At 48.0% G+C, this 27,144-nt stretch overlaps 1 protein-coding gene across 13 annotated transcripts in view, besides 1 other annotated feature; it reads left to right on the forward strand.

Annotated features, from left to right (window-relative positions):
• Positions 1 to 27,144, forward strand: part of PHACTR3 (phosphatase and actin regulator 3) — a 270,203-nt gene that overhangs the window by 192,532 nt on the left and 50,527 nt on the right. For all 13 annotated transcript variants that reach the window (NM_001199505.1, XM_017027628.2, XM_017027626.3 and 10 more), the window contains 2 exons: positions 3,239 to 3,413; positions 4,203 to 4,450. In NM_001199505.1, the coding sequence (NP_001186434.1) occupies positions 3,239 to 3,413; positions 4,203 to 4,450 (423 nt within the window). The remainder of the gene's footprint in view (positions 1 to 3,238; positions 3,414 to 4,202; positions 4,451 to 27,144) is intronic.
• Positions 26 to 1,225: an enhancer, noted in NCBI's record as "CDK7 strongly-dependent group 2 enhancer chr20:58345121-58346320 (GRCh37/hg19 assembly coordinates)". NCBI's record gives its function as "activates an origin of replication core promoter dependent on BRD2, BRD4, P300/CBP, MED14 and CDK7 cofactors, with strong dependence on CDK7, by STARR-seq in HCT116 cells {active_cell/tissue: HCT116}" and the evidence as "EXISTENCE:reporter gene assay evidence [ECO:0000049][PMID:35650434]".

Below are 27,144 nucleotides of genomic sequence, written 5' to 3' on the forward strand. Positions count from 1 at the left end.
CTTGGTAACCCAGAGAGTTTCCTGCCTCTCCCAAGCTTGGGAAGGTCGAGCCTCAGATGGCACAGGTCTTCATTCTGACTCCACACGCCCTAAATTCTGGCGTTCTGTCCCCAGTCTGCGGACACTTCTGGCTTCCGCCCTGCCCTCAGTTGCAAGGACATCAGGGGATACTCTGACACTTATGCGTTTCCATAGGGACTGAATTGAGACTGGGAGGTGGAGGAGGGTAGTTCCGAGCTATGGGTCCTGGCCTGGCTTCTTCCTGCACAGACTACATTTTGGTGACTTTGATTTAATTTTCTCAGTTCCTCTTTTTCCTTTTCCTTTGGGAAAAGGTTCATGTGCTTCAGCATGTGAACACTAGATGGTAGCAAAGAAGAAAGTCTCCTTACCTGGGCTTCCCTTGCTGCAGGAGGGACCCTGGCCCAACTGAGTCTCCACCCAAGGCAGGACTGCAGGTGTCTTAGTTCATCTGAGTGACTTATAAACCACAGAAATTTATTCGTCACTCTTCTAGAGGCTGGAAGTCCAAGATCAGGGTGCCGGCAGATTTGGTGTCTCTGATGAGGGCTTGCTTCCTGGTTCATAGGCCAAATTCCTGGACTTTCTTGAAAAGTCTTCATCTCTGATCACCCTCTGAGTCACTACAGGCCCATTAAGGTGGGCAGGTTCTCCTCTGTGTGCTGTGGTCCCCACCCTGCCCCCATGGAGAAATTGCAGGAGGTCCTTTGCATTCCTGGGTTTCACCTGCCTGGTCCCTGGAGATGCGTTTACCCCTCTCCCTTTTACCTCTCCTTTACCCCTGCTGTCACCTGGTCCAGTTGGTAACGCTCAACTCTGCGGGATGGGAGTCCCACAGCCTCTGCCAAGTGTAAGTGGAGCTGGGTGCGATGTGCTGTTCTCAGCCCCCACCTTTTCCTGGCAGCCTGCCCCTGAGGTGGCTTCTGAACCTCAGCTTCCTCATCTGTGAAATGGGGGTGACAAGTGGTCCCCTGCACAAGCTGGGTGGGGCGAGCCAGGCAAAGCTCTATGGGGGCCGTGGGGGCAGTGCTGGTTGTCACATCTGTGATTGACAGTGGGGCAGAGACCTGGGTGGGATCCCAGCTCCACCAAGCTGAGCGAGAGCAGGCAAACCACGCTGCCTCAGTTTCCCTATTTGTACAAGAGGGCTAGTGATTCCTTCCTCATGGGGCTGGGGTGAGAAGTAGAGGCAATGATGGTTAGAGACAGAGGGGCTGGGGGATGCTGCGTGTCACCTGCGTGTGCTCAGGAGTGGGGCACTGTCCTGAGCAGGAGCAGCCTGGGGAGGCTGAGGCCAGTGGGGAGAGGACAGCGCAGTGTGCAGAAGCTGGGGATGGGTCTCCCTGCAGCCCCTGCCCTGCCTGGCCACTTCTTGCATGGCTGGCTCCTTGTCATTTCTCAGGTCTCAGCTCAAAGTTTCCCTCTGCAGAGCAGCCTTTCCTGACCTCCCTCTCCCAAACCAGCTACCACCTCCCCCCGACCAGCCCAGTACTCTCAGCCCACCTGCGTGGTGCCCTCTCGCCCCCCTCCCTCCACCACTCTCTCTCCCAGCCCTTTTCTCTCCCTCTCCTTCTGTCTCCTTCTCTATTCTACAATCATCTGCTCTCTTTCTGTCTGCCTGGCCTCTGTCTGTCTCCACCAGCTGACGGCAGGGCCTGGCCCGTTTCCCTGTGGCCTGGCCTTGTGTGGCCAAGCAGGTGCTTGTAGAGAAAGCGAAATAACTAAAGTCCTCCACGAGGTTTACAGTTTCCTTTTGGGTTTTGAGGAATACTTTTTATTGATGCTGTCCACATCCCAGGATTGTATTGGAAGTTTGTTTCTGGTTTTTAGGGAATGGGGTAGTTTAGATCTGGTTGTTTTGCTGGTGGGATTAAAGGGATCTGGTGTTTGCACCAGTCCTGCCAGGACGCTTTTGGAATGAGAGTTTGTGCTGAACACCTAAGAGCTTCTGGGCCTGTGCCAGCTGCTAGGCTCCTGAAAAGGAGCTGATGGTCTCATTTTACAGGCAAGTAGGCTAAGCCTTTGAGAGCTTCAGTGACTTGCCCAGAGTCTTGCATACTGGGAAATGGCAGATCAAGACCAGAGGCCAAATCTGCAGAAGACAAAGCCCATGCTCTCTGCTCTTCCGGGCACCTGACACCCTGCTGGCCCGGAGCACATGCAGGAGACTGTCATTGATGGAAGGAGGGGGTGTCCCACTCATTTAGACTTGAATGAGCAAAGCCTGTTTAGAATCATCTTCAAAGTCATTTCATGTACACAAGTGTTTATTGCCCGTGTTTTAAGTGCCAGGCCTGGGGAAACTGTAGGAAGGAAGGTGGACACAGGCCTGCCCAGGAGCAAGAAACAGACTGGGCAGCGTGATTCACTCCAAGTAAGAGGAAAAGTGTCAGGGCAGGCTCAGGTCCCAGGGGACAGGAGACGAGGGATCTGATCATGGCCTCTCTAAGGAAATGGTATTCTAGCAGAGGAGCGGGGAAGCATTTCAGGCAGAAAGAACAGCCCATGCAAAGACTCAGGTTGGACGGAGTGTGGTGCCTTCAAAGACGGGAGAGATCTTCACATGCTGGAGTGAAGAGAGTGAGGTGGAGATGCAGCTAGGGAGCCGAGTGGGGCCACCCCCAGGGGCCTTGAGACTGGGCCATGAGTTCGAATCATGTCCTAAGGAAGATGGGAGAGTGATCCAATTCACCTTCTGGGGTGATCCTCCTGGCAGAGATACAGGGAGAGGGTTGGAGCCCAGAAATTTATTCCTTACTGTTCTGGGGGCTGGAAGTGCAAGCCCAAGGTGCTGGAACAGATGCTGTGGGGAGGGCAGAGCGGACCATGGTGCTCATCCAGGCTGAAGGGTGGCTGCACAGATTCTTCCGGGTTTCCCAAGAACAAGAAGCAGCTTCAGGAAGCTGAATTCATAGCAGAGAAGCAGGAAGGAGGCTTTTCTAAGCCCAGCGCCCTGCAGGGAGGATGCTGGTGCTGGTGTCTGCAAGGCTTGGCCCCTAACAGGGTTTGCCCTACAGATGGAGCAGAACTGGACAGAGATGCACCCTGGCCTCTAGCTTTGGGAGCAGGGATCCCGGTCCAGCATCTTGGCATTAGTTGGGGCCCCTCCTGGAGGTGCAGGGGAGCGTCCTTTCCGCTCATGGTCCCCAGTCTCAGCAAAACCCTTGGTCCCAGCTCCTGAAGACCTATGTTCTTGCTGCTTCCTCCCACACCCCAGGCCAAGCCACACTCTTCCAAGCCTCCAGCATGAAGAGTGCCGACCCTTCCCTCCGGGGCCAGCTCTCCACACCCACGGGGTCTCCGCATCTCACCACGGTCCACCGGCCTCTTCCCCCAAGCCGCGTCATTGAGGAGCTGCACAGGGCGCTGGCCACGAAGCACCGCCAGGACAGGTGAGGCCCTGCCCCATGAGGGAGACCTGTGCTGCCAGAATCCCTGCCTGGCCAGCCTCAGGCTGTGCAGCTCATGCCACGCCCAGGGCCTTGGCTGGGTGTCCCGTTCTACAGTCACTTTCTGAACAAGGAAGTCACATTTTCATTTTGCACCTCGCTCTGCAGATTGCATAGCTGATCTTGGTTCCCACATTCTGGGACGGGGTGCACAGTGAATGTGCACTATGGGAACCTGGCCACAAAGTCCTGTGCGTGAGCCCCTCAGGACCCAGGGTGGGGTGGGAGCTTTGCAGGAGAGACTGACTTAGAGAAAAGTGGCCGTTCCACTTTGTCCCAGGACACTGAGGGCTTCATAGTTGTCACTGGGCAAGAGTGTAAGGCAGCCTGTGCCTGCAGCTTACTCTTATTTTGGATCACATGTGTCTCATGGACTGTGAAAGATTAGAGGTAAAATAGGTAATAGGAGACAGTATGGGTTGGAGGAATATTAGACAAACAAAATGTCCTTCTCAGTTTTTGTGAAGTCCTCGCCCTGAACATTGATTGCATGTATTTTGGCAGGTTTTATTACTTGCATGTTCTGTGCTTTTCAAAACAGCATGTTGTAAACAGCCATTTGCCTTGAACTCAAATCCTCATGCTCCTTCTGGTGTGTCCAGGATAAAAACCAAGAGGTCACATGCATTTTGGGGCTGCCTCTGTGATATTCATTATAAGCTCCAAAGTCAATCGTGCTGGGTTTCTGGGTGAAGGGGGTGACCTATAACCTGAACCATCTTTCTGGTTTAGTTTTCAAGGAAGAGAAAGTAAAGGGTCTCCAAAGAAGCGGCTGGATGTCCGTCTGTCGAGAACGTCCAGCGTGGAGCGGGGCAAGGAGAGGGAGGAGGCTTGGAGCTTTGACGGGGCATTGGAGAACAAGCGAACTGCCGCTAAGGAATCTGAGGAGAACAAGGAGAACCTGATCATAAATTCTGAACTCAAAGACGACTTGCTTTTGTATCAGGACGAGGAGGCGCTGAACGACTCCATTATTTCTGGTGAGGAAAGGATGGCCCATTAAGTGTGGGGATCTCGGCCAGAGGTCTAGTGTCACCAGGGGGTCGAGGACAGAGCTCGTGCCTGGGGGAGGAACAGGTCGAGGGGCTGCACCTGGGGAGAAACAAGAGGGGGGCTGTGTCCTCTGGAAATGAGCTTCTCCTGAAACAAGCTGGGGTGGGGGTGCACAGCCAGGCTTAGAGCAAGGAACTAGAAAATACCCCGGTGAAATTGTTTTGAGAGTTGCATATTAGTTTTCATGTGTATGTGAAAAAAAAAAACAACATAAAAGTGGTGAAGCAAGTGACTTAGAGAATGCCACCCCTGAGGATGCTGTGGCGAACAGTATATAGTTGGTGTACAGATGCTCAGTGTACAGAAGTTATAGCAAAAACAAAAACAAAAAAAAACTGTAACAAGTAAAGCAGGACGAGATGGAAGCAGGGGGAGAGGGAGGAAGAGAGATTGCTCTATTGATCTCAAATGGCCGTCTCAGAAGTGCTGTGGATGGGACAGGCAGCATACGCTTGTTTGGGAGCAGATGCTCACAGGGTCCTTGGAAGCCAGCTCCGTATTTGTCCTCATGGTGCGTTCTCCCATGAGGTAATTGCTCCATCCTACCCTTGAGGACTCCGGGGCTCGGGACGATAGAGGCCTGCAGACCACCCTGTGATGAAGGGAGAAGGAGGCTCAGGCCAGGAGGAGGAAGTGCTGAGGGGGTTTCCCTCCCAGCTGGTACTGGCTGTGCGGGGCCCTCTGATTAGTCCCAGGAAGGTCCAGGGCGGCCGTGGTGTTTGGCCTGCAAGGGAAGGATCAGGAAGCGTCCGTTGCTGTTCTTCCTGGAAGCATCTCATGGTGACTGTTGCGGGCATGGGCAAAGCTCAGGCCACGTCTCCCTGGGTGTCTGTGGGGAGCAGGAAAGGGCATCAGATGTCGGTGCTGACCCTGGCTGGTACTGAAGGCATGCGGTGGGTACTGTGATGGGTGGATAGACCGGCAGCCCAGGGCTCCATAGCCTCCCGCTTCCTGCTGCTTTGGAGCCTTTCCACCGGGTCCGAGGAAGCAATTCTGAGTATGTGGCTGCACAACATGAAAGGGGTGGGGGTGCTGTCACCTGTGCGTTTGGAGGAGGCTGACTGCCACCGCGGAACCAGTGTCTTTGTGGCAGAAACTAGGAGCTGGTCACTGGCCTGAGGGCACCAACCTCTCTGAAGAGGCTGGAGCCTGTGGTGTTCCCAAACTCGTTAGGCCCTGGAATCCTTGCCCTTAAACACCTGTGAGCCTCCAGCAGGAGGGTGCTATGAGGGTGCACTTCTGAGTAGAGCTGGTGTTGGGATGGTCAAGGGCTAGAGCACGGTCCCTCAGCCTCAGCGCTGGTGGCAAGAGGCCAGGCGATTCTCTGCTGGGGAGGGGGCTGTCCTGGACACATTAGGATATCCTGCAGCATCCCTGGCCTCTCCACACTGGATTCCCCCAGTGAAGACAATCTAAAATGTCTCCAGACTTGGCCAGATGCCCCTGAGGGGCAGAATCACCCCCAGCTGAGAATCACTGGCATAGTCTGTGCCCTTGGTTTGGGGGTGCCCTTCCATAAGTCCCTTATCCACTCCAGGACACAATGCTTTCATTGGTGAAGAGGGAGATGGGAACTGCTTCCTCTTGACATTGACAATGTCAGCAGCCAGGGCCCCTTACCGGGTGTTTCTTGTGTCCGGGATGCTGGTCTAAGGTTGTGACAAGAAAGGTTTTATCCTCACAGGAGCCCCATGAGGCTATGACATCATAGTCCTTATTTTACAGATGTGTAAACTGAGGCATAGGGAGGCCATGTAACTGGCCATGGTCATGCAGCTCGTTGGTGCCAGGCTGGGACTTGAACCCAGGCTGCCAGCGCCAGCTTTCCGCTCTGTGCTAGACCCTCTCTGAGGATGAGTGGATTAATCCATGTCAGCCCTTGGCACAGGGCCTGGCTCAGGGTGCACCTCGGAGAGCACTTCTTCCTGTCCTCACCAGCCACACGGGGAGGATAGCCCCTGGGGAGGACAGCCCCTGGGGAGGAGAGCCTCTGGCCCAGAAGGGTCTCCCGGCTTGACTTTCCTTTAGGGCATTGTTAGGCCATCCAGATGCAGTGTCCTCACGCCTGGCGTTAAAGGTATAATGCAGTCATTTTATTTAAACACAGAAGAGGATGGGAATCTGCATTTCACCTCTCGGGAGCCTCAGGCCTGGCCCGGATATGACCTCAAAACCCTCTGTGGCAGCGTGGTTGAGCCAGCAGCGTGGTTGAGACACAGAGTTTCTGCACTGGAGACGGCATCAAAGCACATCTAGCAGCACCCTTGGCTCCCACCTCTGTCCCTCCCGCCCAGTGCCTTCCTTCTCTGATTGAGTGCTCTGCACAGGGACGCCTCCTGCTCAGCCAGGTGGCCTGGTCACAGCCAGCTGTGTTAGCCTCTTGTGGCTGTTGTAACACCTTATCATCTGCTGGGTGACTTATGACCACAGAATTTACTCTTCTGCAGTTCTAGAAGCTAGAAATCCAAAATCAAAGTGTGGGTAGGGTCGTGCTCCCTGCGAGTGCTCCAAGGAGGAGCCATTCTCTTCCAGTTTCTGGTGGTTCCTGCATTCTTGGCCTGAGAATCCCAGCCCTGCCTCCGTGGGCACATAGCTGCCTCCTCTCCCTCCTTCCTCTCCCCTTCATATGAGGATAGTAGTATTGCAGGCAGGGCCCATCTGGATAATCCTGGATGATCTCCTCATCTAGAGATTAACTTAATTACTTCTGCAAAGATCCGATTTCCAAATAAGGTCACTTTCACAGGTTCTGGGGATTTGGACTTGGCACATCTTTTAGAGAACCCCCTTTCAACCCCCTGATTCCACTCCTCTTGGTTAACTCGTTCCTCTTCTCATTGAGCTAAAGCTAGGCTCTGGGATTTGACCCACAAAGTCCCCTCCATCCCTGAGATCTCTGTGGCTGGGCCGGTCCATGGCCTCCAACAGAATGTGCTGTGAAGCTTGGACTTGGCCCTGGGCAGGTCCCTCCCCTGTCCCTGCCCCATTTCCTTGTTGTCAGACGAAGGCCCTCATTGTTGGCTTCTATGACAACACTGAACCTTCCTTCCTAGCTGGGACACAGTTGCAGATTCACACTAATTCTTGTCATTCTCTATTCTCTGTCTCTTTGCTACCTATCAATTACTTATTGTTGACTGTCTAATTTTGTCTGTATGAGGGATCATGCTGGTATCTGTCTGTGTCCCGTGGTGTGTCCATCATCCCAGGGTACCTGGTTCTAAGAGTCAGTAAGCACCTGTTGGTTGTGTGGCTTTAAACACATCTGTGACCCTGATGAATCTGATTTGTCCCTCCAGCCGATGGCCCCTGAGCTCCAGGGTGTCTCTGTGGACTCTACGCATGCGTCCACGTGGGGACTGGTGTGCATTGCATAGCTTACATCTCCAGATCTCGGTTCCCATCTGCGCCCTGTGCTGGGACTCTTCTCCATTTCAATCAATACATCTAAGCCTCCTGTGAAGCTTTTGGCTTTGTGCTGATGTCCGGATGACCCTGAAGTCCTCTCTGTTCCCCTTGGAGCAGTTCGCGGGTCCAGCCAACTCCCTCTTCTCTGGCAATGGTTTGCTGTGCTCTCCTGCCTGGACTTGGCCTCCAGGCGGTCTCTCTGTGCCACCATTGCCCCATTTCTAGTTCATTCTCCACACAGGTGGCCACAGGACCAGGGTCTCATAGAAGTTGGATAATGTCACCTCTTGCTCAAATCCCTCCAGTGGCTCCCTGAGGCACTGAATGCCACATCCTCCCTAGTGCCTGTGGCCCCACCCCATGTGGCCTGCCTCCCTCTCCCGGCTCGCCTCTCCCTTGGACCCAGCCCATGGGCCTCTTTGATGGTCCTCACACCCCAACCACAGCCCCTGAGACTCTTGCTGTCCCTGGAGGTGTGCAAGGCTCCACCGCGTTTAAAACATCGCTCAGTGCAGGAAGCCACCTGGCCGCTGTGTGGCAACACTTGGCCCCTTCTTCTCACCCAACCTTATTTCCCCTACGGCAGCGTCCCTGACGCCAATACCATTGGCTTTGCCCATGCAGCCTCTCTACCAGCACATGGGCTCCGCGAGACCAAGTCTTCGCCTCTGTAGTTCTTACTGTGCGCACAGCTCACGAGTGCTAAGTGCAAAATAAATATCAGTTACATGAATGAGCCAGAATGGGCCAATGGGGGATTAGAGAAGCCAGTGCCTGTAAAGTACTAACAGGTGCCAGGTCCAGGGAGCCCTCATCCCTGGACTGTTTCTCCCATGGCGTGGCTCAGACCTGAGCCTCTTGTTATTTGTTCTCGAAACCCAGTGTCTGTAAGTGAACACGGATTTTGAGCTGGGGTCTGAGAGTGGGGGAAGGTAGCACTCATTGTAGAAACTCATTCTGGAAACTGCTGTCGTGAACGTGGCCCAGGCCCACCGCTGTCTGCACCGTGCAATGTGTTACATGGGGTGTCATCTGCAAGCCCTGGGTGAGGCCCCCTTTCCTCCATGGGCCTTTTGTGGGCCAAGGTCAGGATTCCTGTCTGACCCTGAGAAACTCCTTGTTGAGGGCTGGGCTCATTGCACAAACTGGCAGGTATGTCTGAGGTGCAACCTCCAGCCATTTGCAAATTGAGGCTTCTGTGTGCTGGTCCCAGGGTATAGAGTCTAGGGTCCCTGAAGCCCTGAAATCAAGTGCAGAAAGCAGTGCTTTGCTTTTGTCACATTCTCAACTGTGTCCCCAATGCTCCAGAAGTGATAGATCTCTGAGATAAAATGCTGTGGGAAAATTCAATATTGGTCATACAGAAAGTATATAAATGTTGCTTTTTGGGGGGAAAATTACTCACAGTAGGAAAGGCCTGTAAGAGTATTTTGCTTTGCCTGGTGCAGACAATGGTGAATAATGGTTGTTATTTGCTTCTCTCTGCAGTGTGTTGAGTTCAAACCCCATTCCCACTGTCTCGCCTGATACATTGTTTTCACATCTCCATGGGGTGAAAGCAGAAAGCACCAGGCAGCAAATTAATCAATTATTAATCGCAACAACTACTATTTTATTCATTTATTCATTTATTCTCCCTCTCTCCCTCTCTTTCCCCTGTTGAGGGAGGTTTGGCAGACGTTGTCTTATCCCATGTGAAAAAGAAAATTTTTGTTATCAAACGTTTTTGTGAACTTCAGTTCTCTATTAGAATGGAGAATGCATCTGCATGAGAATTTAATTTTTGGAAATGGTGGAGGCCCTATGCCCACATGCACATGCGTGCCCACACACACAGGCTTGCACATGGGGTGCCTTCGTGGGTATGCCTGGTCAGCGGTGGGTGAGCAGGGCCTTGCGCTCATTCTCCAGTCATCAAAAGCGAATTTTATGAGAAACAGTCTTTGTGTTGTCACTGCCCCAAGATTTAAGTTTTAAAACCTGTCAAGAAAAAGATGTTTGTGTTTTGTCTTTTCTCTGTGCTGAACCCAAGAGTCATGACCACACCTGTCTGGTTTTTCACAGTGTCCCAGCTCTGGGCGCAGTAGAAACACGTGATGAGGGGGAGCGAGGGACTGAGGGGCTGCTATGGGAATCCGGGCTGCAAGGGAAGAACCTACTGATGGAAGGAAGCTGACTTCTCCAGAGCCCCCCAGCTGCCTGTGCTGCTGCTCCTCCTGCAGACAGCTTCTCCCAGGTGCTCATGACAGCAAGGCTGCAGGCTAGGACTCACCACTGTGTCTCACCTGGGCCCATGTAAGGACAGCACAGGCCCTCCACTTCATCCATGCTGTAGTCTTAGTCCCTTTGAGCTGTCATAACAAAATCCCTAGACTGGGTGTCTTATAAACAACAGAAATTCATTCCTCACAGTTCCAGAGACAGGGAAGTCCAAGATCAAGGTTCTGACACGTGGGGTTTGGCAAGGCCCCACTTTCTCATAGGTGGTGCCTTCTATGTGTCCTCACATGGCAGAAGGGGCCACAGAGCTCTCTAAGGCCCCTTTCCTAAGGGTACCAATCCCATTGGTGAGGGTTCCACCTAATGATCTAATCACCTTCCAAGACCCTACCCCCCGAATACCATCACATTGGGGTTAGGCTTCAACATAGGAATTTTGGGGGACACAAACATCTGGCCCCTGGCATTGGGAATGTCACAGGGAGGGCTGTCTGTGCAGCTGGGTGGGCCTCCGTCTCTGGGGCTTACTCTGCGTAGAGAGACTTGCTGCAGGATTTGACCACCCCACGTGCCTCGACATGTTTCTTTCTAGCTCTGTGACCTTGGAAAAGTTTCTTAACCTCTCTGTGCTTCAGTTCTATCCCTTGTAAATGGGGGTGACAAGAAAGTTCTTATGAAGGTCAACAGGGGTGCTCACCGAAGTATAGCTTTGTCTCATTGTGCTCAGTGAGCGTTCTGGTTGCCGTGGTAATCAGCACTGTCACCCTCATCATCACTGTGGTTAAGGAGCATATAGGAACAAGGAAGCACTGGGCATCCACCGCTCATCAAAATACTGCCTCACAGGCATGAAGCAAAGTTTAGCTCCCAGTTTGTCAATGTTCCGTAGCTGATTTGTGCTATTCCTCATTCCTCGGCCAATTCATCAGTGAGAGTGTTGATGTCCCTGCCGCTGCATAGGTACATCTGTTCTCCATCCAGACATGCAGTTACATGTGTTTGTGTAACTGGCTGTGGTTTTGCTTGCCTGCTTAGCAAGGGACAAGGGCAAGGGGAATTAATCACCGGGGTCTATGTGCCAGGACAGGCTGGCGGGGACCTTTGGGTTGGTCAGGAGAAACAAGCCTCAAGAAGGCCTCTCGATGGCACCTGCCATGAGCCACCCGTCCCAGACCAGGTTGGGTAACCCACGGCGCCCAGCCTCAGATTACTCTGCCCATTGGGATGACCCTGGGCAGGTGGTGGCACATCTGGGCCCTGGCTGCCTTTCGGTAGCTCACAGGTGATGTCAGTGACCCCCTTGTCAGGTTGTCCTGGGGGCGGATGAGACAACGCTCATGGAGGGCCTGGCCTGTGTGGGCACATGGCGCTCACGTGGTAGCCCTGCTGCCAAGGTTTTCTGAGGGTGTGTCCCAGCGGCAAAAGAAAAAAATCTGATATTTGTACATTATTTATTTATAAACTATACATTAGGGGTACCATGCTAATATACTGTGTACTTTATAAAATATACATGCAAGATAGTAATAAAAGGTGACCCGAGAGAGTGACTATGTACATATTAATATGTTCTAGCACAGCCTGCCCCACTGTGTCCTAGGAGTAAGGCCCTAGGAAGTATATTTCAGCAAGCACAGGGGGGTTCTAGTGCTGGTGCAGGAGTGAAAGAGTAAATCCTAGCCCCCACAATCCCATGAGTCAATTCCAGTCAGCTAGGCGGTACAAGAGTAAAGGGACATACGGGATTTCCCGGCTTTATAGATTTTTTTTAAAGCTTCTTAAGACACACCCTTGCTATGTATTCAGCAAGTACTATATGTCCCAATCTAGGCCTCAAGGATTCTAAGGAGAAACTAGACACAGTCTCCAACCCTCTAGGAGCTCATGACTGACCTTAAAAGCTGATGTTCACCATAAACTCAACAACGCAAAAGAGGGCTGGGTCGGGAGTTGAAAGGTGTATTAGTCCGTTTTCACACTGCTGATAAAAACATACCTGAGACTGGGTAATTTATAAGGAAAAAGAGGTGGTTGTTTTTTTCATTTTGTTTTGCTTTGTTTTTTGTTTTGTTTTTTCTAAGACAGAGTCTTGCTCTGTTGCCCAGGCTGGAGTATCGTGGCACGATCTTGGCTCACTGCAACCTCCACCTCCGGAGTTCAAACAATTCTCCTGCCCCAGCCTCCCAAGTAGCTGGGATTACAGGTGCATACCACCATGCCTGGCTAATTTTTGTATTTTTAGTAGAGGCAGAGTTTCACCATGTTGGCCAGGCTGGTCTGGAACTCCTGACCTCAGGTGATCCACCCACCTCGGCCTCTCAAAGTGCTGGGATTACAGGTGTGAGCCACCACACCCAGCCAGAAAAAGAGGTTTAATGGACTTACAGTTGCACCTGCCTGGGGAGGCCTCACAATCATGGTGGCAGGCAAGAGAGAATGAGAACCACGCAAAAGGAGTTTTCCCTCATAAAACCACCAGATCTCATGAGACTTATTCACTACCACGAGAAAAGTATGGGGGAAACCACCCCCATGATTCAATTATCTCCCATTGGGTCCCTCCCACAACACTTGGGAATTATGGGAGCTACAATTCAAGATGAGATTTGGGTGGGGACACAGCCAAACCATATCAAAATCCTAAGACAAATGTGTGACGCCAAGAATGTGGTGACACGGGCATTTGATGACATGGAGAACGTTACACGGAGAGAGGCAACACTCAGGCAGTTCCTGGTACTGTCTAAATGTAAAGAAAGCCTTCTTTGCAGGCTCCGGGATCCTTTCCCCAGTAGACATACTTGTAAAAAGTGAATGCTAACGTGTTATTTGAATGCCATTTTAAGTGTGGGGAGGGTGTACTGAAAGGCTTCGTGCAGTGTATGCTTCTGTAAAGTGAAGAGCCACCTGCAGCGAGTGAGGACTCCCCCACAGTCGTCTCCATGGTGACTTCACAGAACAGCAGGCAGCCCCTGCCTTTTCTTGAAAGTTGGGGCTAGAGATTTGAAAGGCTGTGGAAACCCAGCCACTCCCTGCACTGACACCAGATGGCGCTGGAGATGCTCGCTGGGATGCAGGATGCTTGTGAGAACCTGGTCTCAGGACGACCTGGTGGGCGTCTTGCAGCGGAGGCAGGTCTGGCCCAGGGTGGTTCTGGCTGAGCACCAAGCAGCAGAGCTCTCAGAGTGGGAACGCACAGCCCCAGTGACAATCAGCTGAAACAGGGCTGCCCCCCGCCCCGCCCCACCCCGGCCCTTTTTTTTGTTTGAGCTATTATTTCCCATCAAGTACCTTGATAAGCACTTTTCATGCATTTTATTGCCTAAGTCCCTTGACAAGGTGATAAGACAGCTGCTATTACCGCTTTTTTTGTTTGTTTGTTTGTTAACAGTAGAGGAAAATGAGGCAAAGAGAGGGGATGAAACTTGCCCATTTTGAATCCAGGGCTTTCCAGCTCCACAGCACATGACTGTAGCCTACTGTTCGTCCAATGCGTAAGCACATCATAGGTGCCAGGCACTGCCCTGGGTGCTGTGGACACAGTGATACAAGCCAGGGTCCCAGCCCGCAGGTGCCTGCAGCAAGGGGGAGGCAGGAGCCCCCAGGAGGTGATTTCAAGATTGGGGCATGAGCACCAGATGGACACAGGCAAAGAGTACTCTGTGATTTGTGCATCTGAAAGCAGCTGTTCTGGGCCAGCCGTGTGCTCTTAAAAGCATTGGTAGGAACTGTATCCGTCTCCCTGGGGCCTGGGCCTCTGCACTTTGCAGGCTCCGCAAGGGTGAAGGTCAATCTTGTGTGTCCTCTTGGCTGAGCTGTTCCACCCAGCTATTGAAATGCTAGTCTGCATGTTGCTGTGAAGGTATTTTGTAGATGTGGTTGTCACCTGCAGTCGGTGACTTTAAGGGGCTTTGAGTGGCCCTCTCCAGTCAGTTAAAGGTTTGAGAATAAATTGGAGTTTCCCAGAGAAGAGGAAATCTTGCCTCAAGACTGCGGAATCCACTCCAGCCGCTGGCCTGCCCTCCAAATCCAGGACTGTACAGCCCCCGCAATCGCATGAGTCAATTCCTTAAAATAAATGTCTTAAAACACACACATATGCACATATATGTGTGTGTGTGGATGTATATATATATATATGTGTATATATAGAATGTGTATGTACAAACATGTATGTGTATGCATATGTATATGTGTGTGTGGTGTGTGTCTATCCCATTGCTTCTGTGTCTCTGGAGAGCCCTGACCCAAACACCAGGTGACTCTCAAGAGCTGCCAGGGTGGAGAACCAAAGCTTTAAAATGAGGAGTCCTGGTCATCAAGGTAAAGGCTTTCCACATAGGGACAGCTTGAGCCTGGGCGTGGAGATGAGACGCGTGAGGTGCACAGGGTAGCGTGGTTGTTGCATAGCCCAGTGTGAGACCTAGGGACTGGCCAGGGAGAGAGACCTTTATTCACCCTGTAAAGAAAGCTGGAATTCAAAAGACACCAAAGTGTGAAGCCTCTGAGGGTTGTCCCAAGTCACTCACCTCCTGGCTATGTGGCCTTGGGCTACACTGTGGGACGTTGTCATCTGCAAAATAGGAAAACTAAATCCTAGCACCTGCCTTATAGGGCTGCGGGGAGATGACATGGGAAACGCATTCAAAGGCTGCCTCTGGGCCTGGCATACCGCAAGGGCTCATTCAATCTTGGCTGCTCTTGCTGCCACTGGTGGGAAGCAGTGTGGGATCTCCTGCAGCTGAACTGATCTTTCTGGAGTGCAGACCTGATGCCGTCTGTCATGATTCAAGCCTTGGAAAGGGCCCCAGGACTTTCCGAGGGTGGGAGGGTGGGCTCCAGAGAAAAGACAGGGAGGGGCCATGAGGAGGCTCAGGCAGGAGGGGATGGGGTCTGCAGGGAGTGTCAGAGTCAGCTCCAGCTGCCGTAACAGGATACCACAGAGTGGATGCCTGAAACGACAGACGTTTGTTTTCTTACCATTCTGGAGGCTGAAAGTCCAAGAACAAGGTGATTTCCAGTGAGGCCTCTCTCTGTGTCTTTATAGGGCCGTTCCCCTGTGTGCTGGTTGGTGAGAGTGGGTGATGAGTACTCTGGCCTCTGTTTCCTCTACAGGGACACCAGTTCCATCAGATCAGGGCCCCGCTCTTGCAACCTCCTTTAACCTTAGTTACCTCCTTACAGGCCCTACCCACAAATACAGTCACATTGTGGGTCAAAGCTTCAACTTGTGAATTCTGGGGCAGAGCGGTGGTACACAGGTGAATCATAATGTGGGAGACTGAGGCAGAGAGGAGAAACTGGCAGGAGCTGGGGAGTGGGGATGGTGCTGCTGGACTCCATTCTTGCAGCTGTGGGCCCCTGGCTGCAAGAGAAAGCGCAGAGGGGAGGAAGCGGGAGATGATTCGCCAGCGACCTGAGTTGACTAGAGAGGGGCCCTGCCCAGCTCCACGCTGACAGGGACCATATAGTCAGTCAAGAGCGTTTATTGAGCACCTCCTGCATGCACTGTGAGGAAAGCCAAGTCACATCCACAGAGGAAGGCCGTGGTCAGCAGCACCAGCATCTGTCCAGTGGGTGTGTCCCTGGCATGTTGCACCAGCACAGCGTGTGAGGTCCGATCCTTAAAGCTGCTTCATTTTGTTTTCCAGCAGCCCTCTGCATCCCCTGCTTCTGCATCCCCTACTTCATTTTGTTTTCCAACGGCCCTCTGCATCCCCTGCTTCTGGTTTTCCAACGGCCCTCTGCCTCCCCTGCATCCCCAGGTAGCACTAGACTTTTCTGTTTATTTGCAGGTAGTGAACTGCCACTGAGTCTGAGTCGTAAACACTGTTTGGATTCAGAGGTCAGAATATCCTTCCCCTGTGATGCTCAAACTTCTGAGTCAGTTCGGTGTTTTGCCAGCTCCCTCCTCAACTGAGCCCCTCTGTGGCAGGAGGCCTGGGGCTGGGATCCTCCCCTTTGCCCTGCTCATTCCCCAGCTTCTGCGTGTGTGCCCCCAGGGAGTGCAGGCTAGCCTGGTGTCTGGGGGCCTTGGCTGGGCTCTGAGCTCTGTGTGGCCATTCAGTTTGCCCACTTGGGTCCCAGTCTGTGGGGCTGGCACCTGCTGGAGGTTCAATTTCCCTTCAAAAAAGGTCATGGTGATCCCTCTGAGAATTACTTTGAGAACCTGACAACTCAATGATGTGAGATTGCCTACTCCAAGGCCCTTCTGTGGGGGACAGCGAGGGCTGCTGTGGCCTCCTGCTCCTCTCTCTTTAAGATGAGCAGGTCCATCCACAGCAGCCCAGGGAGCAGCCCTGGGGGCAGAGCCATCAAGGACCTGGTGGAGCCATCCTGAAACTTCAACAGGTCAGGGTGGCCATTGTGCGCGGCATGGCACTTAGCACAGCTGAGCAGTTAAAGGGGTATATGGAGGGCCCTCTGTGCAGTTGACAGGTGTCTGTGGAGCACTCTCTGTGCCATTGACGGGTGTCCATGGAGCGCTGTCTGTGCAGCTGACAGGTCTCCACAGAGCACTCTCTGTGCAGTTGACGGGTGTCCATGGAGCTCTTTCTGTGCAGTTGACAGATGTCCGTGGAGCTCTCTCTGTGCAGTTGACAGGTGTTTACAGAAGTCTTTTTCTGTGCAGTTGACGGGTGTCCATGGAGCGCTCTCTGTGTAGTTAACAGGTATTTACAGAAGTCTCTTTCTGTGCTGCTTGTAGAAGTCCTCAACAATGGTGATCTTCACTAATCACTATTTTTTTTTCAGGAAGTATGCAGGACTTTTGCAATCCAACGTGCGTGTGTTATTTTAAATTTCATGGCTATGGTGGCAGTGGTGTCAGAGTAAGGGAAATCATGCAGAGTGGAAGCAAGAGGAAACCCTGTCACTTGTGCCCTATTCTGTTGCAAAACCATGTCCCAGTGCTGGCCTAGACACACGGGGTAGGAAAATAGACACCACGTTTTTGTAGGAAGATTGGAGAATAGTGGTCTCCTTGCACTTGACCTGCTGTGAAGAGTTGATGTTAACTTCTTGGTGAGTATGTAAATTACATCCATGGGCACAGGCGTTCTCGCAGAGGATGCCCCATCCAGGCCTGTGATGCAACTGCAGTGCCCTGGCAAGTGCACTGGCTTCCGGGGCTGGGCTGGGGAGGGCACTGAGCTGAGATCCAGAGGAGGAGCAGAGGTGGGAGGGTCTCACAGGCTCAGAAGCTCCAGGGTGGAAGGAAGCCCAGCCTTTGAGGGACGAAAGGGAAGAAGACAGGCAGAGATCATTCTGGAGAAGCCAGTAGGGGAGTGGCCATGTGCAGCCTTGTCTACTATGCCAGTGATCTCACTCTTTATATAAAGAAAATGCACAAGAGATATAGGGACATCTTTGTGGCTGTTGTTCTGCCAACAACCGTGGCACACACAAAAACCCTCACAGCAGGAGCCCAGGAGGAGAAGAGAGTCCCCATTCCACTCCTTAGACAGCCCCTCTGGCCAGGAGCTGGAGAGGAGAGTTTCCAGTGCCATTCCTTAGTCAGGCGCCCTGGGCTAGAGCTCAGGCTTTCAGACAGAGCCTGACTTTTCCACACCCACTTCCTACTGGTTTACAGCTACTGTATAAAGCAAAGCACCCTCACTTTCCTCTTTGTGACAGGTAGTGATGCTTTTTACAGAAACTAGACTTTATAGAAGCCTGGAGGTGTGGAATGGTAGAGATCCACAGGACTCTGTAGTGAACATGCAACACCAGCTCCCATCTGAAATACACACCCACAGATGCATTTTTCCGTTTTATTTTATTTCTTCCATAAGTTATTGGGGTACAGGTGGTATTTGCTTATGTGAGTAAGTTATTTGTGAGATCCTTGTGCACTCATCACCCAAGCAGTAAACACTGCACCATATTTGTTTGTCTTTTATCCTTTGCCCCCCTCCCACTCTTCTCCCCAAGACCCCAATGTCCATTGTATCATTCTTATGCCTTTGCATTCTCATAGCTTAGCTCCCACACATAAGTGAGAACATACGATGTTTGGTTTTCCATTCCTGAGTTACTTCACTTAGAATAATAGCCTCCAATCTCATCCACGTCATCGTACAGATGCGTTTTTCTCTAGAGAAAGTTCATCAGCCCAGAAGGCCTGCCTGGGCGCTTCCCTTTCAGACTGAGGGATAGTGACACTTCCCTTACCCTCAGGCACCCATTGCAGGGTCTGGATGCCCCCCACGCCTGGCAGCCCCTCCTCCCCCATTGTTGGCTCCCTCCTCTCATTAACCTCCAACCCTGCTCTCTCCCTGGCTCCCAGGACACCATCCCTGCCTTTCTTCCTGCCATCCTGGCCCCTCTTCCCTGACCCGCCCCTAAAGGTGAGCAGGCCCAAGCTTCCTGGCTCCTTCCTTTGCTGGCTCTGTGCTCTCTCTTGAGGCTCAACCTCACATCTGTCCCCATATGTGGATCGTCACAAATCTCCATCCCTGGCTCCAGCTCTTTCTGATGCTAAAACCTCACATGTCCATTTGTCCACTGTCCCTGCAGAGGCCCTGATGCACCCTGAGTTCAGCAGAGCCAAAGCTAACCTTGTCCTCTTTCCCGGGAAACCCGCTCAACTTCCCAGATCCTCATACTCAGCTAATGTCATCTCCATGTTTCCACATCAAAGCCCAGGCAGTCCCCTCCTCCAACATCACAGCCCCACTCATTCAGAAAAGATGTGCCATGATGTATGTGTCAGGCATGGCAGGGAGAGTTTGCCCTCAAGACCCCCAGAGTCTGGTGTCGGCATCTATAACAGTGTCACTGTTGTTTCAGAAAACGTCAGGCACTTCTGCCTCTGGCCATGATGAAGCGATGGTAGCTGCCCTCCCACTAAAATCAAACGAGAGACTGGACAAAATGAATGAGAGGACTGTTTCGAGGCATTGAACAGAAACAGTACATGCCTGTTATCCTTGAGAGAGTGGAGACCCCTGGGTTAGCCCATAATTGATCTCCCTGGTTTCTGGGGGAGGCATCTTCCTGCAGGGTGCAGGGAGGTGGCCTCTGAGCAGAGTGGTGATCTCACCGAGATGAGGAGGCAGAGACTGGAGTCTGGGCTACTGAAACAGCTGGAGTTTGTAGGACAGGAAGGAGCTATGTAACGGGTTCTGTGCAGATCCAGTTGGCCATAGCCTGGGCTATGCCTATATGCAGAATTCTACAGACTTAGCAGAGATTGCCTGTGAGCATGACAGCTGAAGGTCAGGGGGTGCTAGGAGATGTTGGGAGTTCAGCTCAAACAGAATGAAGAGATCTTGATGAATGCAACAGACTTGAAATCCCACAAAGACCAAGACTTAGGAGTAAGGGGCATACCTTAAGGCTTTGTTCAAAACCAAAATGGACCTGCAGTTATTATAAATATGTTAGAGGTCTTAGAGTGTCAACAAAATGATCACAATGAATGACCAGATGGAGAATCTTAGCAGAGAAACAGAAACAAAAAGAAAACCAAATGGAAGTTCTAGAATTAAAAGGTACAATATCTGAAAATGTCACTGCTTGTGCAAAACAGACTCCAGGACTGTTCTCACACAGGGGCTTATAAAGCCAGGACATAGGCCAGGCTGGGAGGAGTTGGGGAATCCCTGCCACCCTCCTCTTTCCTGGGATTCATTACTCCCTCTACCCAAATGCCAAAGCCTCATGCACATCAATTCATGCAGCCTGAACCCAGCAGGATCCACGACTGCCAATCCTGGCTTGCAGTTTGTGCTGGGAAATGGCTGCATTAGCAACGTGGAGACATACTTCCTTGTAACTAAGACTTTGTGCATCTCTGTAATTATGTCCTTAGGATAAATTCCAACATGCAGGCTAATTGAGAAAAAGATATCTCATCATGAGTTTATTTTAACTCCAAAGCCTCTTTGCCTTATGTTCTTATTTATATACATTTCCTTTTTTTCTCTTTTTTAAAATTTAACTTTAAAGTTCAGGGGTACATGTGCAGGTTTGTTATATAGATAAACTTGTGTCATGAGGGTTTGTTGTACAGATTATTTCGTCACCCAGGTATTAATCTTAGTACCCATTAGTTAGTTTTCCTGATCCTCTCCCTTCTCCCACCACATTGGCATCCTTTTTCTTCTCTAGAGAGTATCTGAGACTGGTTCTAAAAGCAGTAGCCAGCCCGGTGATACAGGGAGAAATAGCCAAAAGAGCTCCTGCCAAAACCTACAGTAATCAGAAACTTTGACTCAGGAATTCTCCCCTTTCTAGGGATCAAGCTGATGGAAATATTCATATGCATGCAGAGAAATGCAGGAATGAGGACATTTTCTGCGGCTTTGGTTAGAAGTAGAAAAACAAACACTAACCTAAGTGTCCATTCATGGTGAGCTGGACCAATAAATGATGGGATTATGTGATGTTCACACTGTGGGGTTATTAACAGCTATTGAAAGAGCTGGATTAAAACACCCTGCTTTGGAACCAGGACCAGCTGTGGTGTGGAGGAAACAGCATATTGCAAAGTAGTGTGTATGGTATGATCCTACTTTTGTAAGACATCAGAATTAAGTGGGAGTCTGTAAATTGTTAATTGTGTAGAAGTAGGTCTGGAAGTAGATACTGCAAAATGTTAGCAGTCGCTTTTTTTAGAGGTGAGATGTGGGCAGAGAAAGGAATACTATCTTTCCTTAATACTATTAGGCTTAAGTTGTTTGCAACGAGCATACATTATTTTTGTAGCTGAGGAAGAGAACATAGTTCTTTGAGCTTTGCTGGGAGGCAGTCAGCTCTCTGGTCTCAGCTATGACCTGGGACAACTCATATCTCCATGAACTTTGGTGTTCTTTTCATTAATTCACCAGGGAGGTGAGGGTAGAAGGAGAGCCTGGTGAGCACCTTTCAGCTCCACCATGGTATGAATGTTTGTCTCCTCCAAAACTCATGTTGAAATTTAATTGCCATTATAACAGTATTAAGAGGTGGGACTTCTAAAAGGTGATTGGGCCATGAGAGCTCCGCCATCATGGATGGGATTAATGCTGGTATAAAAGAGTCTGTCTGGCCCTCTCTCAGCCTCTCTTTGCCCTTCTGTTATGTTATGACATAACAAGAAGGCCCCTTGTTATGCTGGTACCTTGCTGTTGGACTTCCCAGCCTCCAAAACTGTGAGCCAATAAATTTCTGTTCAATGTAAATTACCCAGTCTTGGGTATTCTGTTATAGCAGCATGAAACAAACTAAGATGGGCTCTAATTCTGATGGTCAGAGCAAGCTCCCTGGTAGGTTGAAGGGTGGCTCTGACTGGGACTCCCCATTGGGAAGCAAATCACCCTACAGCCTTGTCCTCTGGGAAGTCCTGACCTCAAGGAGCACTGCCCAGAGGAGTGGCTAGAGGGTCACTCTGGAGAAGCATGTGAGCACTTTTCTTTTTTCTTTTTTTTTTTTTAACTGAAGTTTTAGGGTACATGTGCACAGTGCTGGTTTGTTACATATGTGTACATGTGCCATGTTGGTGTGCTGCACCCATTAACTCGTCATTTACATTAGGCATATCTTCTAATGCTATCCCTCCCCCACCCCCCACCCCACAACAGGCCCCGGTGTGTGATGGTCCTGTTCCTGTGTCCATGTGTTCTCATTGTTTCATACTGATTGTATTTCTATTTATTTTTGCAAACAGGTGGTATACTCAGTATACATTGCTCAAAGGAGCCCCAGTGCTACTGGTTTCTTATCTGTCCCATTGGGGCTGTTTTATGCTTATACAAGCGAAGATACATTAATATATGTTAAGCTTTTCCATCTTGGAGATTAGGTATCAGGGAGAAGACTGATGTGAGATCTGCCTCCTCTTCTTTGTCCCTTTCCTGTCTCCCCACTCACCTAGGAATAGAAGGGAGGATTCTGACGACTAGTCTTAGAGCCAGGCACCTCTCTTCACTCTAGAGAGGGCAGCTCTTCCTGGGATCAAAGTGCCATGTGTGGTCTTCTTGGAGTGGGGCTATCAGGAACAGCTGGGAACAAATGAGGGGCCTTGGAAGCATCAACCAGGTCTCATCTGTTGATGGACATATGGGTTGTTTTTAGTTATTACAAATAAATCTGTGATCAGCATTTGTGTACAAGTCTTTGTGTGGACATATGCTTTCACTTATCTTGGATAAATAGCTAGAAGTGGAATGGCTGAGTCATGTGGTAGGTTTTTAACTTTTTAATAACCGGAAAAATGTGAAGTGATCCTGCCATTTAGAGTGGTCCTCTGATATATTCTCACCATCAAGGTATTAGAGTTTCAGTTCCTCCACATCCTCTCCAATACTTGATGTGGTCAGTCTTTTTAATTTCATGTAAAGAACTCTGTGCAGATCCAGTTGGCCAAGGGCTGGGCTATGCCTATATGCAGAATTCCACAGACTTAGCAGAGAGTTAGAATTTAATTTTTAATTCTAGTGGGTGTGTTGTGGTGTCTTATTATGGTTTTAATTTGCATTTTTTCTAATAATTAATGATGTTGAGCATTTTTTCATATACTTATCACCATATCTTTGTTGGGAAAATATCTATTAAAATCTTCCCATTTTTCAAAATTAGGTCAATTGATTTTTATGTTTGAGAGTTTCATTGGTCTGTGTGTCTGTTTTTATGCTGCTTTAGTTATTATACCAAAATATTGTTTGGTACCATGCTGTTTTGGTTACTATAGCTTTGTAGTATATCTATTTATTTTATTTTATTTTTTTAGAGACAGGGTCTCACTCTGTTGTCCAGGCTGGAGTGCAGTGGTATAACCACAGCTCACTGAAGCCTTGACCTCTTGGGCTCAAGTGATCCTCAAACATTGGCTTTCTGAGTAGCCGAGACTATAGACATGTACCACCACACCCAGTTAATTTTTGTATTTTTTTTTTGTAGAGACGAGGTCTCACTATGTTTTCCAGGGTGCTCTTGAACTCTTGAGCTCAAGCATTTCTCCCACCTTGGCCTCTCAAAGTGTTGGGATTACAGGTGTGAGCCCCTGCACCCAGCCTATAGTAGTATATCTTGAAGTCAGGTAGTGTTGTGCCTCCAGCTTCGTTCTTGCTCAAGATTGCTGTAAATATTCAGTGTCTTTTGTGGCTCCATACCAATTTTAGATTCATTGTTTTCCTATTTTTATGAATAATGTCATTGGTATTTTGATAAAGATTGCATTGAATCTGTGTATCACTTTGGATAATATGGGCATTTTAGCAATGTTTATTCTTCCCAGCCATGGACAAAGGATATTTTTTCATTTATTTGTGTCATCTTCAATTTCTTTCAATGATTCATAATTTTCAGAATACAGATCTTTCATCTCCTTGGTTATATTTATTCCCATTTTACTTTTTTGTAGCTATTGTGAATGGGATTATTTTCTTGATTTCTTTTTCAGATAGTTTGCTATTGCTGTACAGAAACAGTAGGGATTTTTGTATGTTGATTTTTGTATCCTGCAACTTTATGGAATTTGTTTATTTTAACAGTTTTTTGGTGAGGTCTTTAGGGTTTTCTATATAGAAGTTCATGTCATCTGCAGACAGGAACAATTTAGCTTTTCCTTTCTAATTTGGATGCCTTTTTTTTTTCTGTAGCCTAATTGCTCTGGCTAGGACTTCTAGTATTTTGTTGAATGAAAGTAGTAAAAGTGGGCATCCTTAGCTGGGCATGGTGGCTCATGCCTGTAATCCCAGCACTTTGGGAGGGTGAGACAGGTGGATTACTTGAGGATAAAGAGTTCAAGACCAGCCTGGCCAACACAAAGAAACCTCATTTCTACTAAAAATACAAAAAATTAGCCAGGTGTGCTGGTGCATACCTGTAATCCCAGCTACTCGGGAGGCTGAGGCAGGAGGATCACTTGAACCTGGGAGGCCGAGGTTGCAGTGAGCCAAGATTGTGCCACTGCACTCCAGCCTGGGCAACAGAACAAGACTCCATCTCAAAAAAAAAAAAAAAAAAAAGAGTGGTCATCCTTGTCTTGTTTCAGATCCTGGAGGAAAGACTTTCAATTTTCCTCCTTCAAAATGATGTTAACTATGGATTTGTCATATATGGCCTTTATTATATTGAGTTACAATTCTTCTAAACTGACTTCATTAAGAGGTTTTATTATGAAGTGATGTTGAATTTTGTCAAATGCTTTTTCTGCATCTATGATTTAACATATTAATTTTTACATATTGAACCATGCTTGCATCCCTGGGATAAATTCCACCTGATCATGTTGAAGGATCTTTTTAAATGTGTTGTTGAATCTAGTTTGCTATTATTTTGTTGAGGATTTTTATATCTATGTTCATCAGGGATGCTGGCCTATAGTTTTCTTTTTTTGTGTCCTTATCTGGTCTTAGTAACAGGTAATGCTGGCCTTGTAGAATAGTTTGGAAATACTCCTTCCTTTTCAATATTTTAGAATAGTTTAGGAAGAACTGATATTAGTTCCTTAAATGTTTGGTGGAATTCAGAAGTGAAGCAGTCAAGTCCTGGACTTTCCTTTGATGGGAGATTTTTTAGTACTGACTCAATCTCCTTACTCATTATTGGTCTGTTCTGATTTTCTATTTCTTCATAAGTAAATCTTGGTAGGCTGTACGTGTCCAGGAAATGATCCATTTCTTCTAGGTTATCCAATTGTTCGTACTGTGCATTGTGCAGGTAATTGTTCATAATAGTGTCTTATGATTCCTTCTGTGGTATCTAATGTTCCATTTTTCATCTCTGATTTTCCTTCATTTCTTAGTCTAAAGATTTGTCAGCTTTGTCTTTTCAAAAAAACCTCATTTGTTAATCTTTTGTATTTTCTAGTCTTTATTTTATTTCTGCTCTAACCTTTATTTTTTTTTCCTTCTACTAATTTTGGGTTGAGTTTGGTCTTTTCCTGGTTTCTTGAGGTATAGTGTTAGGTTGTTTATTTCACATCTTATTTTTTGATGTAGGCAATTGTTGTTGCATGCTTCCTTGTTACAACTGCTTTTGCTGTATCTCATAGGGTTTGGTATGTTTTTACTTTTGTTTGTCTAAAGATACTTTCTAATTTCCCTTTTAATTTTGTTGTTGACTCCTTGGTTATTCAGGAGCATGATGTTTTATTTCCTCATATTTGAAAAGTTTCTGAAGTTCCTCCTGTTACTAATTTCTGGCTTTATACCTTTGTAGTCAAAGAAGATACTTGATATGATTTTTATCTTCTTAAATTTGTTAAGATTTGTTTTCTGGCCTAATATATTATCTAGGAGAATGTTCCATGTGCAATTGAGAAGAATGTGTATTCTGCAGCTGCTGGATAGAATGTTCTGTAAATGTACATTATGTCTGTTTTGTCTAAAGTACACTTTAAATCCAATATTTCTCTGTTCATTTTTTGACTGGATGATCTGTCCATTGCTGAAGTAAGGTGTTGATATCACCTGCTATTATTGTGTTGCAATTTATGTCTTCATTTAGATCTAATAATATGTGCTTTATATATTTAGGTACAAATTTGTATGCATATATATTTACAATGGTAACATCCTCTTGTTGAATTGATTTCATCATTGTATAATGACCTTTTACAGTTTTTGACTTAAACTCTAATTTATCAGATATAAGCATAGCTACTCCTGCTTTTCTTTGGGTTTCAATTTGCATGGAGTATTTTTGTCCTTCCCTTCACTTTCAGTCTGTGTGTGTCCTTAGAGGTGAAGTGAATCTCTTATAGGCAGCATACAATTAGGTCTTGTTTTTAAAAATCTATTTAGCCACTCTCTATTTTAGCTGGAGACTTTATTCATTTATATTCAAAGTTAGTATTGATGGGTAAATACTCCTGCCATTTTGTTAGTTGTTTTCTGGTTATTTTATAGATCTTTTGATCCTCTTTTCCTCTGTTGTTGTTTACCTTTGTGGTTTGATGGTTTTCTGTAGTGCAAAGCTTTGATTCTTTCCTTGTTCTCATTTGTGTATCTGCTGTAATTTTTTTGTTACCATGGGGCTTATATAAAAAATTATAAAGTTATAATACACTATTTTAAGTAGAAAACAATGTAACTCTGGTCACATACAAATACTCTAGACTTTTACCTTACCCCACTCCCACAGTTTTTAATTATGCTGCCTTAATTTACATCTTTTTAATTTTGTATGTTTCTTAACAACTTATTGTAGCTATAGTTATTTTTGACCATTTTGATTTTTTAATCTTCATACTAGAGATTTGAAAGATTTACCTACACCATTATCATAATGTAGATTCTGAAGTTGATTATGAATTTGCGTCTACCAGTGAGTTTTATACTTTCACATGTTTTCATGATAGTAATTATTGTCCTTTCACTTCTGGTTGAAGTACTCTCTTGAGCATTTCTTGTAAAGGCAATCTAGTGGTAATGAATTTCCTCAGCTTATTCTTGCCTGGGAAAGATTGTATTTCCTCCATTTCTCAAGGATAGCTTTGCTGGATATAATATTCTTGGTTAGTAGAGATTTTTTTCCCCCTCTCTTATCATCCCATTCTCTCCAGGCCTGACAGGTTTCTGCTGAGAAGTTTGCTCATAGACTAATGGGGATTCCCCTATATGTGACTTTGTTATTTTTATTTCCTTCTGCTTTTAGAATCTTTTCTTGTTTTCACCTTTTGGTGGTTTGATTATGATGTATCTGAGAGAGGACTTCTTTGAGTTAAAGTTATTTGGGGATGTTTGAGTTTCATGGATCTGGATGTCCATCTCTCTGCCAACACATGGGAATTTTTCACCTGTAGTTTTGTTAAATAAGTTTTCTGTGTTTTTATCTGTCTTCTTTGAAAATTTCATAATGCAAACATTTGTTTACTTAATGGTGTCTCATAAGTCCCATAGGTTTTCTTCATTTTTTAATCCTTTGCTCTCTCTCTTTTCCCCTCTGGATGGGTTATTTTGAGTTCAGAAGTTCATTTTGCTTGATCTAGTCTGTTGTTGAAGCTCTCAATTTAAAAAAATTATTTATTGAATTCTTCAGCTACAAGATTTCTGTTTGTTCCTTT

This window comes from Homo sapiens, chromosome 20, assembly GCF_000001405.40.
Source record: "Homo sapiens chromosome 20, GRCh38.p14 Primary Assembly".
Lineage (NCBI taxonomy): Eukaryota > Metazoa > Chordata > Mammalia > Primates > Hominidae > Homo > Homo sapiens.